Source organism: Homo sapiens, chromosome 17, assembly GCF_000001405.40.
Source record: "Homo sapiens chromosome 17, GRCh38.p14 Primary Assembly".
NCBI lineage: Eukaryota > Metazoa > Chordata > Mammalia > Primates > Hominidae > Homo > Homo sapiens.
Window position 1 is genome coordinate 23,244,271 of NC_000017.11, and position 18,338 is coordinate 23,262,608.

The 18,338-nt window shown below is 40.9% G+C and overlaps 1 annotated feature.

The window, feature by feature from the left end:
* Positions 1–18,338: part of a centromere (Linear centromere model derived predominantly from reads generated in PMID: 17803354. This region does not represent an actual centromere sequence, as long-range ordering of repeats and unmapped WGS contigs is not provided by the model. For details of model production, see http://arxiv.org/abs/1307.0035.) that runs on past both edges of the window.

Below are 18,338 nucleotides of genomic sequence, written 5' to 3' on the forward strand. Positions count from 1 at the left end.
GGGATGATTGAGTTGAACTCACAGAGCTGAGCATTCCTTGCGATGTAGCAGTTTAGAAACACACTTTCTGCAGAATCTGCAAGTGCATATTTGGACCTCTGTGAGGAATTCGTTGGAAACGGGATAATTTCAGCTGACTAAACAGAAGCATTCTCAGAACCTTCTTCGTGATGTCTGCATTCAACTCACAGTGTGGAACCTTTCTTTGATAGTTCAGGTTTGAAACACTCTTTTTGTAGAAACTGCAAGGGGATAATTGCACTCTTTGAGGAGTACCGTAGTAAAGGAAATAACTTCCTATAAAAAGAAGACAGAAGCATTCTCAGAACCCTCTTCGTGATGTTTGCATTCAACTCACAGTGCTGAACCTGTCTTTGATAGTTCAGCTTTGAAACACTCTTTTTGTAGAAACTGCAAGTGGATATTTGGTCCTCTCTGAGCATTTCGTTGGAAACGGGATAAACTGCACAGAACTAAACAGAAGCATTCTCAGAACCTTCTTCGTGATGTTTGCATTCAACTCACAGTGTTGAACCTTTCTTTGATAGTTCAGGTTTGAAACGGTCTTTCTGCAGAAACTGCAAGTAGATATTTGGACCGCTCTGAGGATTTCGTTGGAAACGGGATAACCCGCACAGAACTAAAACAGAAGCATTCACAGAAAACTCTTGGTGACGACTGAGTTTAACTCACAGAGCTGAACATTCCTTTGGATGGAGCAGTTTCGAAACACACTATTTGTAGAATGTGCAAGTGGATATTTAGGCCTCTCTGAGGATTTCGTTGGAAACGGGATAAACCGCACAGAACTAAACAGAAGCATTCTCAGAAACTACTTTGTGATGATTGCATTCAAGTCACAGAGTTGAACATTCCCTTTGACAGAGCAGTTTGGAAACTCTCTTTGTGTAGAATCTGCAAGTGGAGATATGGACCGCTTTGAGGCCTATGGTAGTAAAGGAAATAGCTTCATATAAAAGCTAGACAGTAGCATTCTCAGAAACTTCTTTGTGATGCTTGCATTCAACTCACAGAGTTGAACTTTCCTTTCGAGAGAGAAGCTTTGAAACACTCTTTTTCCAGAATCTGCAAGTGGACATTTGGAGGGCTTTGAGGCCTGTGGTGGAAAAGGAATTATCTTCCCGTAAAAGCTAGATAGAAGCATTGTCAGAAACTTCTTTGTGATGATTGCATTCAAGTCACAGAGTTGAAGGTTCCTTTTCAAAGAGCAGTTTCCAATCACTCTTTCTGTGGAATCTGCAAGTGGATATTTGGACCTATTTTGAAGATTTCGTTGGAAACGGGAGAATCTTCACAGAAAAGCTAAACAGAAGCATTCTCAGAAACTTCTCTGTGATGTTTGTGTTCAACTCCCAGAGTTTCACATTGCTTTTCATAGAGTAGTTCTGAAACATGCTTTTCGTAGTGTCTGCAAGTGGACATTTGGAGCGCTTTCAGGCCTGTGGTGGAAAACGAATTATGGTCACATAAAAACTGGAGAGAAGCCTTCTCAGAAACTTCTCTGTGATGATTGCATTCAACTCACAGAGTTGAACCCTCCTATGGATAGAGCAGTTTTGAAACTCTCTTTTTGTGGAATCTGCAAGTGGATATGTGGACCTCTCCGAAGATGTCTTTGGAAACGGGAATATCTTCACATAAAAACTAAACAGAAGCATTCTCAGAAACTTCTTGGTGATGTTTGCATTCAAATCCCAGAGTTGAACCTTCCTTTGATAGTTCAGGTTTGAAACACTCTTTTTGTAGGATCTGCAAGTGGATATTTGGACCACTCTGTGGCCTTCGTTCGAAACGGGTACATCTTCGCATAAAATCTAGACAGAAGCATTCTCAGAAAATACTTTGTGATGATTGAGTTTAACTCACAGAGCTGAACATTCCTTTGGATGGAGCAGGTTTGAGACACACCTTTTGTAGAATCTACAAGTGGATATTTGGACCTCTCTGAGGATTTCGTTGGAAACGGGATAACTGCACCTAACTAAACGGAAGCATTCTCAGAAACTGCTTTGTGATGATTGCATTCACCTCACAGAGTTGAACATTCCTATTGATAGAGCAGTTTGGAAACACTCTTGTTGTGGAATGTGCAAGTGGAGATTTGGAGCGCTTTGAGGCCTATGGTAGTAAAGGGAATAGCTTCATAGAAAAACTAGACAGATGCATTCTCAGGAACTTTTTGGTGATGTTTGTATTCAACTCCCAGAGTTGAACTTTCCTTTGGAAAGAGCAGCTATGAAACACTCTTTTTCTAGAATCTGCAAGTGGACGTTTGGAGGGCTTTGTGGTTTGTGGTGGAAAAGGAAATATCTTCACCTAAATACTAGATAGAAGCATTCTCAGAAGCTTCTCTGTGATGACTGCATTCAACTCACGGAGTTGAACACTCCTTTTGAGAGCGCAGTTTTGAAACTCTCTTTCTGTGGCATCTGCAAGGGGACATGTAGACCTCTTTGAAGATTTCGTTGGAAACGGAATCATCTTCACATAAAAACTATACAGAAGCAGTCTCAGAATCTTCTTTGTGATGTTTGCATTCAAATCCCAGAGTTGAACTTTCCTTTCAAAGTTCACGTTTGAAACACTCTTTTTGCAGGATCTACAAGTGGATATTTGGACCACTCTGTGTCCTTCGTTCGAAACGGGTATATCTTCACATGACATCTAGACAGAAGCTTTCTCAGAAAATTCTTTGGGATGATTGAGTTGAACTCACAGAGCTGAACATTCCTTGCGATGGAGCAGTTTAGAAACACACTTTCTGCAGAATCTGCAATTGCATATTTGGACCTCTCTGAGGAATTCGTTGGAAACGGGATAATTTCAGCTGACTAAACAGAAGCATTCTCAGAACCTTCTTCGTGATGTCTGCATTCAACTCACAGTGTGGAACCTTTCTTTGATAGTTCAGGTTTGAAACACTCTTTTTGTAGAAACTGCAAGGGGATAATTGCACTCTTTGAGGAGTACCGTAGTAAAGGAAATAACTTCCTATAAAAAGAAGACAGAAGCATTCTCAGAACCCTCTTCGTGATGTTTGCATTCAACTCACAGTGCTGAACCTTTCTTTGATAGTTCAGCTTTGAAACACTCTTTTTGTAGAAACTGCAAGTGGATATTTGGTCCTCTCTGAGCATTTCGTTGGAAACGGGATAAACTGCACAGAACTAAACAGAAGCATTCTCAGAACCTTCTTCGTGATGTTTGCATTCAACTCACAGTGTTGAACCTTTCTTTGATAGTTCAGGTTTGAAACGGTCTTTCTGTAGAAACTGCAAGTAGATATTTGGACCTCTCTGAGGATTTCGTTGGAAACGGGATAACCCGCACAGAACTAAAACAGAAGCATTCACAGAAAACTCTTGGTGACGACTGAGTTTAACTCACAGAGCTGAACATTCCTTTGGATGGAGCAGTTTCGAAACACACTATTTGTAGAATGTGCAAGTGGATATTTGGGCCTCTCTGAGGATTTCGTTGGAAACGGGATAAACCGCACAGAACTAAACAGAAGCATTCTCAGAAACTACTTTGTGATGATTGCATTCAAGTCACAGAGTTGAACATTCCCTTTGACAGAGCAGTTTGGAAACTCTCTTTGTGTAGAATCTGCAAGTGGAGATATGGACCGCTTTGAGGCCTATGGTAGTAAAGGAAATAGCTTCATATAAAAGCTAGACAGTAGCATTCTCAGAAACTTCTTTGTGATGCTTGCATTCAACTCACAGAGTTGAACTTTCCTTTCGAGAGAGAAGCTTTGAAACACTCTTTTTCCAGAATCTGCAAGTGGACATTTGGAGGGCTTTGAGGCCTGTGGTGGAAAAGGAATTATCTTCCCGTAAAAGCTAGATGGAAGCATTGTGAGAAACTACTTTGTGATGATTGCATTCAACTCACAGAGTTGAAGGTTCCTTTTCAAACAGCAGTTTCCAATCACTCTTTCTGTGGAATCTGCAAGTGGATATTTGGACCTATTTTGAAGATTTCGTTGGAAACGGGAGAATCTTCACAGAAAAGCTAAACAGAAGCATTCTCAGAAACTTCTCTGTGATGTTTGTGTTCAACTCCCAGAGTTTCACATTGCTTTTCATAGAGTAGTTCTGAAACATGCTTTTCGTAGTGTCTGCAAGTGGACATTTGGAGCGCTTTCAGGCCTGTGGTGGAAAACGAATTATGGTCACATAAAAACTGGAGAGAAGCCTTCTCAGAAACTTCTCTGTGATGATTGCATTCAACTCACAGAGTTGAACCCTCCTATGGATAGAGCAGTGTTGAAACTCTCTTTTTGTGGAATCTGCAAGTGGATATGTGGACCTCTCCGAAGATGTCTTTGGAAACGGGAATATCTTCACCTAAAAACTAAACAGATGCATTCTCAGGAACTTCTTGGTGATGTTTGCATTCAAATCCCAGAGGTGAACCTTCCTTTGATAGTTCAGGTTTGAAACACTCTTTTTGTAGGATCTGCAAGTGGCTATTTGGACCACTCTGTGGGCTTCGTTCGAAACGGGTATATCTTCGCATAAAATCTAGACAGAAGCATTCTCAGAAAATACTTTGTGATGATTGAGTTTAAATCACAGAGCTGACCATTCCTTTGGATGGAGCAGGTTTGAGACACACTTTTTGTAGAATCTACAAGTGGATATTTGGACCTCTCTGAGGATTTCGTTGGAAACGGGATAACTGCACCTAACTAAACGGAAGCATTCTCAGAAACTGCTTTGTGATGATTGCATTCACCTCACAGAGTTGAACATTCCTATTGATAGAGCAGTTTGGAAACACTCTTGTTGTGGAATGTGCAAGTGGAGATTTGGAGCGCTTTGAGGCCTATGGTAGTAAAGGGAATAGCTTCATAGAAAAACTAGACAGATGCATTCTCAGGAACTTTTTGGTGATGTTTGTATTCAACTCCCAGAGTTGAACTTTCCTTTGGAAAGAGCAGCTATGAAACACTCTTTTTCTAGAATCTGCAAGCGGACGTTTGGAGGGCTTTGTGGTTTGTGGTGGAAAAGGAAATATCTTCACCTAAATACTAGATAGAAGCATTCTCAGAAGCTTCTCTGTGATGACTGCATTCAACTCACGGAGTTGAACACTCCTTTTGAGAGCGCAGTTTTGAAACTCTCTTTCTGTGGCATCTGCAAGGGGACATGTAGACCTCTTTGAAGATTTCGTTGGAAACGGAATCATCTTCACATAAAAACTATACAGAAGCAGTCTCAGAATCTTCTTTGTGATGTTTGCATTCAAATCCCAGAGTTGAACTTTCCTTTCAAAGTTCACGTTTGAAACACTCTTTTTGCAGGATCTACAAGTGGATATTTGGACCACTCTGTGTCCTTCGTTCGAAACGGGTATATCTTCACACGACATCTAGACAGAAGCTTTCTCAGAAAATTCTTTGGGATGATTGAGTGGAACTCACAGAGCTGAACATTCCTTGCGATGTAGCAGTTTAGAAACACACTTTCTGCAGAATCTGCAAGTGCATATTTGGACCTCTCTGAGGAATTCGTTGGAAACGGGATAATTTCAGCTGACTAAACAGAAGCATTCTCAGAACCTTCTTCGTGATGTCTGCATTCAACTCACAGTGTGGAACCTTTCTTTGATAGTTCAGGTTTGAAACACTCTTTTTGTAGAAACTGCAAGGGGATAATTGCACTTCTTTGAGGCCTACCGTAGTAAAGGAAATAACTTCCTATAGAAAGAAGACAGAAGCATTCTCAGAACCCTCTTCGTGATGTTTGCATTCAACTCACAGTGCTGAACCTTTCTTTGATAGTTCAGCTTTGAAACACTCTTCTTGTAGAAACTGCAAGTGGATATTTGGTCCTCTCTGAGGATTTCGTTGGAAACGGGATAAACCGCACAGAACTAAACAGAAGAATTCTCAGAGCCCTCTTCGTGATGTTTGCATTCAACTCACAGTGCTGAACCTTTCTTTGATAGTGCAGCTTTGAAACACTCTTTTTGTAGAAACTGCAAGTGGATGTTTGGTCCTCTCTGAGGATTTCGTTGGAAACGGGATAAACCGCACAGAACTAAAACAGAGAGCATTGTCAGAAACTTCTTTGTGATGATTGCATTCAACTCACAGAGTTGAAGGTTCCTTTTCAAACAGCAGTTTCCAATCACTCTTTCTGTGGAATCTGCAAGTGGATATTTGGGCCTCTCTGAGGATTTCGTTGGAAACGGGATAAAACGCACAGAACTAAAACAGAGCATTCTCAGAAACTTCTCTGTGATGTTTGTGTTCAACTCCCAGAGTTTCACATTGCTTCTCATAGAGTAGTTCTGAAACATGCTTTTCGTAGTGTCTGCAAGTGGACATTTGGAGCGCTTTCAGGCCTGTGGTGGAAAACGAGTTATGGTCACATAAAAACTGGAGAGAAGCCTTCTCAGAAACTTCTCTGTGATGATTGCATTCAACTCACAGAGTTGAACCCTCCTATGGATAGAGCAGTGTTGAAACTCTCTTTTTGTGGAATCTGCAAGTGGATATGTGGACCTCTCCGAAGATGTCTTTGGAAACGGGAATATCTTCACATAAAAACTAAACAGAAGCATTCTCAGAAACTTCTTGGTGATGTTTGCATTCAAATCCCAGAGTTGAACCTTCCTTTGATAGTTCAGGTTTGAAACACTCTTTTTGTAGGATCTGCAAGTGGATATTTGGACCACTCTGTGGCCTTCGTTCGAAACGGGTACATCTTCGCATAAAATCTAGACAGAAGCATTCTCAGAAAATACTTTGTGATGATTGAGTTGAACTCACAGAGCTGAACATTCCTTTGGATGGAGCAGGTTTGAGACACACTTTTTGTAGAATCTACAAGTGGATATTTGGACCTCTCTGAGGATTTCGTTGGAAACGGGATAACTGCACCTAACTAAACGGAAGCATTCTCAGAAACTGCTTTGTGATGATTGCATTCACCTCACAGAGTTGAACATTCCTATTGATAGAGCAGTTTGGAAACACTCTTGTTGTGGAATGTGCAAGTGGAGATTTGGAGCGCTTTGAGGCCTATGGTAGTAAAGGGAATAGCTTCATAGAAAAACTAGACAGAATGCATTCTCAGGAACTTTTTGGTGATGTTTGTATTCAACTCCCAGAGTTGAACTTTCCTTTGGAAAGAGCAGCTATGAAACACTCTTTTTCTAGAATCTGCAAGTGGACGTTTGGAGGGCTTTGTGGTTTGTGGTGGAAAAGGAAATATCTTCACCTAAATACTAGATAGAAGCATTCTCAGAAGCTTCTCTGTGATGACTGCATTCAACTCACGGAGTTGAACACTCCTTTTGAGAGCGCAGTTTTGAAACTCTCTTTCTGTGGCATCTGCAAGGGGACATGTAGACCTACTTTGAAGATTTCGTTGGAAACGGAATCATCTTCACATAAAAACTATACAGAAGCAGTCTCAGAATCTTCTTTGTGATGTTTGCATTCAAATCCCAGAGTTGAACTTTCCTTTCAAAGTTCACGTTTGAAACACTCTTTTTGCAGGATCTACAAGTGGATATTTGGACCACTCTGTGTCCTTCGTTCGAAACGGGTATATCTTCACACGACATCTAGACAGAAGCTTTCTCAGAAAATTCTTTGGGATGATTGAGTGGAACTCACAGAGCTGAACATTCCTTGCGATGTAGCAGTTTAGAAACACACTTTCTGCAGAATCTGCAAGTGCATATTTGGACCTCTCTGAGGAATTCGTTGGAAACGGGATAATTTCAGCTGACTAAACAGAAGCATTCTCAGAACTTCTTCGTGATGTCTGCATTCAACTCACAGTGTGGAACCTTTCTTTGATAGTTCAGGTTTGAAACACTCTTTTTGTAGAAACTGCAAGGGGATAATTGCACTTCTTTGAGGCCTACCGTAGTAAAGGAAATAACTTCCTATAGAAAGAAGACAGAAGAATTCTCAGAGCCCTCTTCGTGATGTTTGCATTCAACTCACAGTGCTGAACCTTTCTTTGATAGTGCAGCTTTGAAACACTCTTTTTGTAGAAACTGCAAGTGGATGTTTGGTCCTCTGCTGAGGATTTCGTTGGAAACGGGATAAACCGCACAGAACTAAAACAGAAGCATTGTCAGAAACTTCTTTGTGATGATTGCATTCAACTCACAGAGTTGAAGGTTCCTTTTCAAACAGCAGTTTCCAATCACTCTTTCTGTGGAATCTGCAAGTGGATATTTGGGCCTCTCTGAGGATTTCGTTGGAAACGGGATAAAACGCACAGAACTAAAACAGAAGCATTCTCAGAAACTTCTCTGTGATGTTTGTGTTCAACTCCCAGAGTTTCACGTTGCTTTTCATAGAGTAGTTCTGAAACATGCTTTTCGTAGTGTCTGCAAGTGGACATTTGGAGCGCTTTCAGGCCTGTGGTGGAAAACGAATTATGGTCACATAAAAACTGGAGAGAAGCCTTCTCAGAAACTTCTCTGTGATGATTGCATTCAACTCACAGAGTTGAACCCTCCTATGGATAGAGCAGTGTTGAAACTCTCTTTTTGTGGAATCTGCAAGTGGATATGTGGACCTCTCCGAAGATGTCTTTGGAAACGGGAATATCTTCACATAAAAACTAAACAGAAGCATTCTCAGAAACTTCTTGGTGATGTTTGCATTCAAATCCCAGAGTTGAACCTTCCTTTGATAGTTCAGGTTTGAAACACTCTTTTTGTAGGATCTGCAAGTGGCTATTTGGACCAATCTGTGGCCTTCGTTCGAAACGGGTATATCTTCGCATAAAATCTAGACAGAAGCATTCTCAGAAAATACTTTGTGATGATTGAGTTTAAATCACAGAGCTGACCATTCCTTTGGATGGAGCAGGTTTGAGACACACTTTTTGTAGAATCTACAAGTGGATATTTGGACCTCTCTGAGGATTTCGTTGGAAACAGGATAACTGCACCTAACTAAACGGAAGCATTCTCAGAAACTGCTTTGTGATGATTGCATTCACCTCACAGAGTTGAACATTCGTATTGATAGAGCAGTTTGGAAACACTCTTCTTGTGGAATGTGCAAGTGGAGATTTGGAGCGCTTTGGGGCCTATGGTAGTAAAGGGAATAGCTTCATAGAAAAACTAGACAGATGCATTCTCAGGAACTTTTTGGTGATGTTTGTATTCAACTCCCAGAGTTGAACTTTCCTTTGGAAAGAGCAGCTATGAAACACTCTTTTTCTAGAATCTGCAAGTGGACGTTTGGAGGGCTTTGTGGTTTGTGGTGGAAAAGGAAATATCTTCACCTAAATACTAGATAGAAGCATTCTCAGAAGCTTCTCTGTGATGACTGCATTCAACTCACGGAGTTGAACACTCCTTTTGAGAGCGCAGTTTTGAAACTCTCTTTCTGTGGCATCTGCAAGGGGACATGTAGACCTCTTTGAAGATTTCGTTGGAAACGGAATCATCTTCACATAAAAACTATACAGAAGCAGTCTCAGAATCTTCTTTGTGATGTTTGCATTCAAATCCCAGAGTTGAACTTTCCTTTCAAAGTTCACGTTTGAAACACTCTTTTTGCAGGATCTACAAGTGGATATTTGGACCACTCTGTGTCCTTCGTTCGAAACGGGTATATCTTCACACGACATCTAGACAGAAGCTTTCTCAGAAAATTCTTTGGGATGATTGAGTGGAACTCACAGAGCTGAACATTCCTTGCGATGTAGCAGTTTAGAAACACACTTTCTGCAGAATCTGCAAGTGCATATTTGGACCTCTCTGAGGAATTCGTTGGAAACGGGATAATTTCAGCTGACTAAACAGAAGCATTCTCAGAACCTTCTTCGTGATGTCTGCATTCAACTCACAGTGTGGAACCTTTCTTTGATAGTTCAGGTTTGAAACACTCTTTTTGTAGAAACTGCAAGGGGATAATTGCACTTCTTTGAGGCCTACCGTAGTAAAGGAAATAACTTCCTATAGAAAGAAGACAGAAGCATTCTCAGAACCCTCTTCGTGATGTTTGCATTCAACTCACAGTGCTGAACCTTTCTTTGATAGTTCAGCTTTGAAACACTCTTCTTGTAGAAACTGCAAGTGGATATTTGGTCCTCTCTGAGGATTTCGTTGGAAACGGGATAAACCGCACAGAACTAAACAGAAGAATTCTCAGAGCCCTCTTCGTGATGTTTGCATTCAACTCACAGTGCTGAACCTTTCTTTGATAGTGCAGCTTTGAAACACTCTTTTTGTAGAAACTGCAAGTGGATGTTTGGTCCTCTCTGAGGATTTCGTTGGAAACGGGATAAACCGCACAGAACTAAAACAGAAGCATTGTCAGAAACTTCTTTGTGATGATTGCATTCAACTCACAGAGTTGAAGGTTCCTTTTCAAACAGCAGTTTCCAATCACTCTTTCTGTGGAATCTGCAAGTGGATATTTGGGCCTCTCTGAGGATTTCGTTGGAAACGGGATAAAACGCACAGAACTAAAACAGAAGCATTCTCAGAAACTTCTCTGTGATGTTTGTGTTCAACTCCCAGAGTTTCACGTTGCTTTTCATAGAGTAGTTCTGAAACATGCTTTTCGTAGTGTCTGCAAGTGGACATTTGGAGCGCTTTCAGGCCTGTGGTGGAAAACGAATTATGGTCACATAAAAACTGGAGAGAAGCCTTCTCAGAAACTTCTCTGTGATGATTGCATTCAACTCACAGAGTTGAACCCTCCTATGGATAGAGCAGTGTTGAAACTCTCTTTTTGTGGAATCTGCAAGTGGATATGTGGACCTCTCCGAAGATGTCTTTGGAAACGGGAATATCTTCACATAAAAACTAAACAGAAGCATTCTCAGAAACTTCTTGGTGATGTTTGCATTCAAATCCCAGAGTTGAACCTTCCTTTGATAGTTCAGGTTTGAAACACTCTTTCTGTAGGATCTGCAAGTGGCTATTTGGACCACTCTGTGGCCTTCGTTCGAAACGGGTATATCTTCGCATAAAATCTAGACAGAAGCATTCTCAGAAAATACTTTGTGATGATTGAGTTTAAATCACAGAGCTGACCATTCCTTTGGATGGAGCAGGTTTGAGACACACTTTTTGTAGAATCTACAAGTGGATATTTGGACCTCTCTGAGGATTTCGTTGGAAACGGGATAACTGCACCTAACTAAACGGAAGCATTCTCAGAAACTGCTTTGTGATGATTGCATTCACCTCACAGAGTTGAACATTCCTATTGATAGAGCAGTTTGGAAACACTCTTGTTGTGGAATGTGCAAGTGGAGATTTGGAGCGCTTTGAGGCCTATGGTAGTAAAGGGAATAGCTTCATAGAAAAACTAGACAGATGCATTCTCAGGAACTTTTTGGTGATGTTTGTATTCAACTCCCAGAGTTGAACTTTCCTTTGGAAAGAGCAGCTATGAAACACTCTTTTTCTAGAATCTGCAAGTGGACGTTTGGAGGGCTTTGTGGTTTGTGGTGGAAAAGGAAATATCTTCACCTAAATACTAGATAGAAGCATTCTCAGAAGCTTCTCTGTGATGACTGCATTCAACTCACGGAGTTGAACACTCCTTTTGAGAGCGCAGTTTTGAAACTCTCTTTCTGTGGCATCTGCAAGGGGACATGTAGACCTCTTTGAAGATTTCGTTGGAAACGGAATCATCTTCACATAAAAACTATACAGAAGCAGTCTCAGAATCTTCTTTGTGGTGTTTGCATTCAAATCCCAGAGTTGAACTTTCCTTTCAAAGTTCACGTTTGAAACACTCTTTTTGCAGGATCTACAAGTGGATATTTGGACCACTCTGTGTCCTTCGTTCGAAACGGGTATATCTTCACATGACATCTAGACAGAAGCATTGTCAGAAACTTCTTTGTGATGATTGCATTCAACTCACAGAGTTGAAGGTTCCTTTTCAAACAGCAGTTTCCAAACACCCTTTCTGTGGAATCTGCAAGTGCATATTTGGACCTCTCTGAGGAATTCGTTGGAAACGGGATAATTTCAGCTGACTAAACAGAAGCATTCTCAGAACCTTCTCTGTGATGTTTGTGTTCAACTCCCAGAGTTTCACATTGCTTTTCATAGAGTAGTTCTGAAACATGCTTTTCGTAGTGTCTGCAAGTGGACATTTGGAGCGCTTTCAGGCCTGTGGTGGAAAACGAATTATGGTCACATAAAAACTGGAGAGAAGCCTTCTCAGAAACTTCTCTGTGATGATTGCATTCAACTCACAGAGTTGAACACTCCTATGGATAGAGCAGTGTTGAAACTCTCTTTTTGTGAAATCTGCAAGTGGATATGTGGACCTCTCCGAAGATGTCTTTGGAAACGGGAATATCTTCACATAAAAGCTAAACAGAAGCATTCTCAGAAACTTCTTGGTGATGTTTGCATTCAAATCCCAGAGTTGAACATTCCTTTGACAGTTCAGGTTTGAAACACTCTTTTTGTAGGTTCTGCAAGTGGATATTTGGACCACTCTGTGGCCTTCGTTCGAAACGGGTACATCTTCGCATAAAATCTAGACAGAAGCATTCTCAGAAAATACTTTGTGATGATTGAGTTTAACTCACAGAGCTGAACATTCCTTTGGATGGAGCAGGTTTGAGACACACTTTTTATAGAATCTACAAGTGGATATTTGGACCTCTCTGAGGATTTCGTTGGAAACGGGATAACTGCACCTAACTAAACGGAAGCATTCTCAGCAAACTGCTTTGTGATGATTGCATTCACCTCACAGAGTTGAACATTCCTATTGATAGAGGAGTTTGGAAACACTCCTGTTGTGGAATGTGCAAGTGGAGATTTGGAGCGCTTTGAGGCCTATGGTAGTAAAGGGAATAACTTCATAGAAAAACTAGACAGATGCATTCTCAGGTAACTTTTTGGTGATGTTTGTATTCAACTCCCAGCAGTTGAACTTTCCTTTGGAAAGAGCAGCTATGAAACACTCTTTTTCTAGAATCTGCAAGTGGACGTTTGGAGGGCTTTGTGGTTTGTGGTGGAAAAGGAAATATCTTCACCTAAATACTAGACAGAAGCATTCTCAGAAGCTTCTCTGTGATGACTGCATTCAACTCACGGAGTTGAACACTCCTTTTGAGAGCGCAGTTTTGAAACTCTCTTTCTGTGGCATCTGCAAGGGGACATGTAGACCTCTTTGAAGATTTCGTTGGAAACGGAATCATCTTCACATAAAAACTATACAGAAGCAGTCTCAGAATCTTCTTTGTGATGTTTGCATTCAAATCCCAGAGTTGAACTTTCCTTTCAAAGTTCACGTTTGAAACACTCTTTTTGCAGGATCTACAAGTGGATATTTGGACCACTCTGTGTCCTTCGTTCGAAACGGGTATATCTTCACATGACATCTAGACAGAAGCTTTCTCAGAAAATTCTTTGGGTTGATTGAGTGGAACTCACAGAGCTGAACATTCCTTGCGATGTAGCAGTTTAGAAACACACTTTCTGCAGAATCTGCAAGTGCATATTTGGACCTCTCTGAGGAATTCGTTGGAAACGGGATAATTTCAGCTGACTAAACAGAAGCATTCTCAGAACCTTCTTCGTGATGTCTGCATTCAACTCACAGTGTGGAACCTTTCTTTGATAGTTCAGGTTTGAAACACTCTTTTTGTAGAAACTGCAAGGGGATAATTGCACTTCTTTGAGGCCTACCGTAGTAAAGGAAATAACTTCCTATAGAAAGAAGACAGAAGCATTCTCAGAACCCTCTTCGTGATGTTTGCATTCAACTCACAGTGCTGAACCTTTCTTTGATAGTTCAGCTTTGAAACACTCTTCTTGTAGAAACTGCAAGTGGATATTTGGTCCTCTCTGAGGATTTCGTTGGAAACGGGATAAACCGCACAGAACTAAACAGAAGAATTCTCAGAGCCCTCTTCGTGATGTTTGCATTCAACTCACAGTGCTGAACCTTTCTTTGATAGTGCAGCTTTGAAACACTCTTTTTGTAGAAACTGCAAGTGGATGTTTGGTCCTCTCTGAGGATTTCGTTGGAAACGGGATAAACCGCACAGAACTAAAACAGAAGCATTGTCAGAAACTTCTTTGTGATGATTGCATTCAACTCACAGAGTTGAAGGTTCCTTTTCAAACAGCAGTTTCCAATCACTCTTTCTGTGGAATCTGCAAGTGGATATTTGGGCCTCTCTGAGGATTTCGTTGGAAACGGGATAAAACGCACAGAACTAAAACAGAAGCATTCTCAGAAACTTCTCTGTGATGTTTGTGTTCAACTCCCAGAGTTTCACGTTGCTTTTCATAGAGTAGTTCTGAAACATGCTTTTCGTAGTGTCTGCAAGTGGACATTTGGAGCGCTTTCAGGCCTGTGGTGGAAAACGAATTATGGTCACATAAAAACTGGAGAGAAGCCTTCTCAGAAACTTCTCTGTGATGATTGCATTCAACTCACAGAGTTGAACCCTCCTATGGATAGAGCAGTGTTGAAACTCTCTTTTTGTGGAATCTGCAAGTGGATATGTGGACCTCTCCGAAGATGTCTTTGGAAACGGGAATATCTTCACATAAAAACTAAACAGAAGCATTCTCAGAAACTTCTTGGTGATGTTTGCATTCAAATCCCAGAGTTGAACCTTCCTTTGATAGTTCAGGTTTGAAACACTCTTTCTGTAGGATCTGCAAGTGGCTATTTGGACCACTCTGTGGCCTTCGTTCGAAACGGGTATATCTTCGCATAAAATCTAGACAGAAGCATTCTCAGAAAATACTTTGTGATGATTGAGTTTAAATCACAGAGCTGACCATTCCTTTGGATGGAGCAGGTTTGAGACACACTTTTTGTAGAATCTACAAGTGGATATTTGGACCTCTCTGAGGATTTCGTTGGAAACGGGATAACTGCACCTAACTAAACGGAAGCATTCTCAGAAACTGCTTTGTGATGATTGCATTCACCTCACAGAGTTGAACATTCCTATTGATAGAGCAGTTTGGAAACACTCTTGTTGTGGAATGTGCAAGTGGAGATTTGGAGCGCTTTGAGGCCTATGGTAGTAAAGGGAATAGCTTCATAGAAAAACTAGACAGATGCATTCTCAGGAACTTTTTGGTGATGTTTGTATTCAACTCCCAGAGTTGAACTTTCCTTTGGAAAGAGCAGCTATGAAACACTCTTTTTCTAGAATCTGCAAGTGGACGTTTGGAGGGCTTTGTGGTTTGTGGTGGAAAAGGAAATATCTTCACCTAAATACTAGATAGAAGCATTCTCAGAAGCTTCTCTGTGATGACTGCATTCAACTCACGGAGTTGAACACTCCTTTTGAGAGCGCAGTTTTGAAACTCTCTTTCTGTGGCATCTGCAAGGGGACATGTAGACCTCTTTGAAGATTTCGTTGGAAACGGAATCATCTTCACATAAAAACTATACAGAAGCAGTCTCAGAATCTTCTTTGTGATGTTTGCATTCAAATCCCAGAGTTGAACTTTCCTTTCAAAGTTCACGTTTGAAACACTCTTTTTGCAGGATCTACAAGTGGATATTTGGACCACTCTGTGTCCTTCGTTCGAAACGGGTATATCTTCACACGACATCTAGACAGAAGCTTTCTCAGCAAAATTCTTTGGGATGATTGAGTGGAACTCACAGAGCTGAACATTCCTTGCGATGTAGCAGTTTAGAAACACACTTTCTGCAGAATGTGCAAGTGCATATTTGGACCTCTCTGAGGAATTCGTTGGAAACGGGATAATTTCAGCTGACTAAACAGAAGCATTCTCAGAACCTTCTTCGTGATGTCTGCATTCAACTCACAGTGTGGAACCTTTCTTTTATAGTTCAGGTTTGAAACACTCTTTTTGTAGAAACTGCAAGGGGATAATTGCACTCTTTGAGGAGTACCGTAGTAAAGGAAATAACTTCCTATAAAAAGAAGACAGAAGCATTCTCAGAACCCTCTTCGTGATGTTTGCATTCAACTCACAGTGCTGAACCTTTCTTTGATAGTTCAGCTTTGAAACACTCTTTTTGTAGAAACTGCAAGTGGATATTTGGTCCTCTCTGAGCATTTCGTTGGAAACGGGATAAACTGCACAGAACTAAACAGAAGCATTCTCAGAACCTTCTTCGTGATGTTTGCATTCAACTCACAGTGTTGAACCTTTCTTTGATAGTTCAGGTTTGAAACGGTCTTTCTGTAGAAACTGCAAGTAGATATTTGGACCTCTCTGAGGATTTCGTTGGAAACGGGATAACCCGCACAGAACTAAAACAGAAGCATTCACAGAAAACTCTTGGTGACGACTGAGTTTAACTCACAGAGCTGAACATTCCTTTGGATGGAGCAGTTTCGAAACACACTATTTGTAGAATGTGCAAGTGGATATTTGGGCCTCTCTGAGGATTTCGTTGGAAACGGGATAAACCGCACAGAACTAAACAGAAGCATTCTCAGAAACTACTTTGTGATGATTGCATTCAAGTCACAGAGTTGAACATTCCCTTTGACAGAGCAGTTTGGAAACTCTCTTTGTGTAGAATCTGCAATTGAGATATGGACCGCTTTGTGGCCTATGGTAGTAAAGGAAATAGCTTCATATAAAAGCTAGACAGTAGCATTCTCAGAAACTTCTTTGTGATGCTTGCATTCAACTCACAGAGTTGAACTTTCCTTTCGAGAGAGAAGCTTTGAAACACTCTTTTTCCAGAAAGTGCAAGTGGACATTTGGTGGGCTTTGAGGCATGTGGTGGAAAAGGAATTATCTTCCGGTAAAAGCTAGATAGAAGCATTGTCAGAAACTTCTTTGTGATGATTGCATTCAACTCACAGAGTTGAAGGTTCCTTTTCAAACAGCAATTTCCAATCACTCTTTCTGTGGAATCTGCAAGTGGATATTTCGACCTCTTTGAAGATTTCGTTGGAAACGGGAGAATCTTCACAGAAAAGCTAAACAGAAGCATTCTCAGAAACTTCTCTGTGATGTTTGTGTTCAACTCCCAGAGTTTCACATTGCTTCTCATAGAGTAGTTCTGAAACATGCTTTTCGTAGTGTCTGCAAGTGGACATTTGGAGCGCTTTCAGGCCTGTGGTGGAAAACGAATTATGGTCACATAAAAACTGGAGAGAAGCCTTCTCAGAAACTTCTCTGTGATGATTGCATTCAACTCACAGAGTTGAACCCTCCTATGGATAGAGCAGTGTTGAAACTCTCTTTTTGTGGAATCTGCAAGCGGATATGTGGACCTCTCCGAAGATGTCTTTGGAAACGGGAATATCTTCACATAAAAACTAAACAGAAGCATTCTCAGAAACTTCTTGGTGATGTTTGCATTCAAATCCCAGAGTTGAACCTTCCTTTGAGAGTTCAGGTTTGAAACACTCTTTTTGTAGGATCTGCAAGTGGATATTTGGACCACTCTGTGGCCTTCGTTCGAAACGGGTACATCTTCGCATAAAATCTAGACAGAAGCATTCTCAGAAAATACTTTGTGATGATTGAGTTTAACTCACAGAGCTGAACATTCCTTTGGATGGAGCAGGTTTGAGACACACTTTTTGTAGAATCTACAAGTGGATATTTGGACCTCTCTGAGGATTTCGTTGGAAACGGGATAACTGCACCTAACTAAACGGAAGCATTCTCAGAAACTGCTTTGTGATGATTGCATTCACCTCACAGAGTTGAACATTCCTATTGATAGAGCAGTTTGGAAACACTCTTCTTGTGGAATGTGCAAGTGGAGATTTGGAGCGCTTTGAGGCCTATGGTAGTAAAGGGAATAGCTTCATAGAAAAACTAGACAGATGCATTCTCAGGAACTTTTTGGTGATGTTTGTATTCAACTCCCAGAGTTGAACTTTCCTTTGGAAAGAGCAGCTATGAAACACTCTTTTTCTAGAATCTGCAAGTGGACGTTTGGAGGGCTTTGTGGTTTGTGGTGGAAAAGGAAATATCTTCACCTAAATACTAGATAGAAGCATTCTCAGAAGCTTCTCTGTGATGACTGCATTCAACTCACGGAGTTGAACACTCCTTTTGAGAGCGCAGTTTTGAAACTCTCTTTCTGTGGCATCTGCAAGGGGACATGTAGACCTCTTTGAAGATTTCGTTGGAAACGGAATCATCTTCACATCAAAACTATACAGAAGCAGTCTCAGAATCTTCTTTGTGATGTTTGCATTCAAATCCCCGAGTTGAACTTTCCTTTCAAAGTTCACGTTTGAAACACTCTTTTTGCAGGATCTACAAGTGGATATTTGGACCACTCTGTGTCCTTCGTTCGAAACGGGTATATCTTCACATGACATCTAGACAGAAGCTTTCTCAGAAAATTCTTTGGGATGATTGAGTTG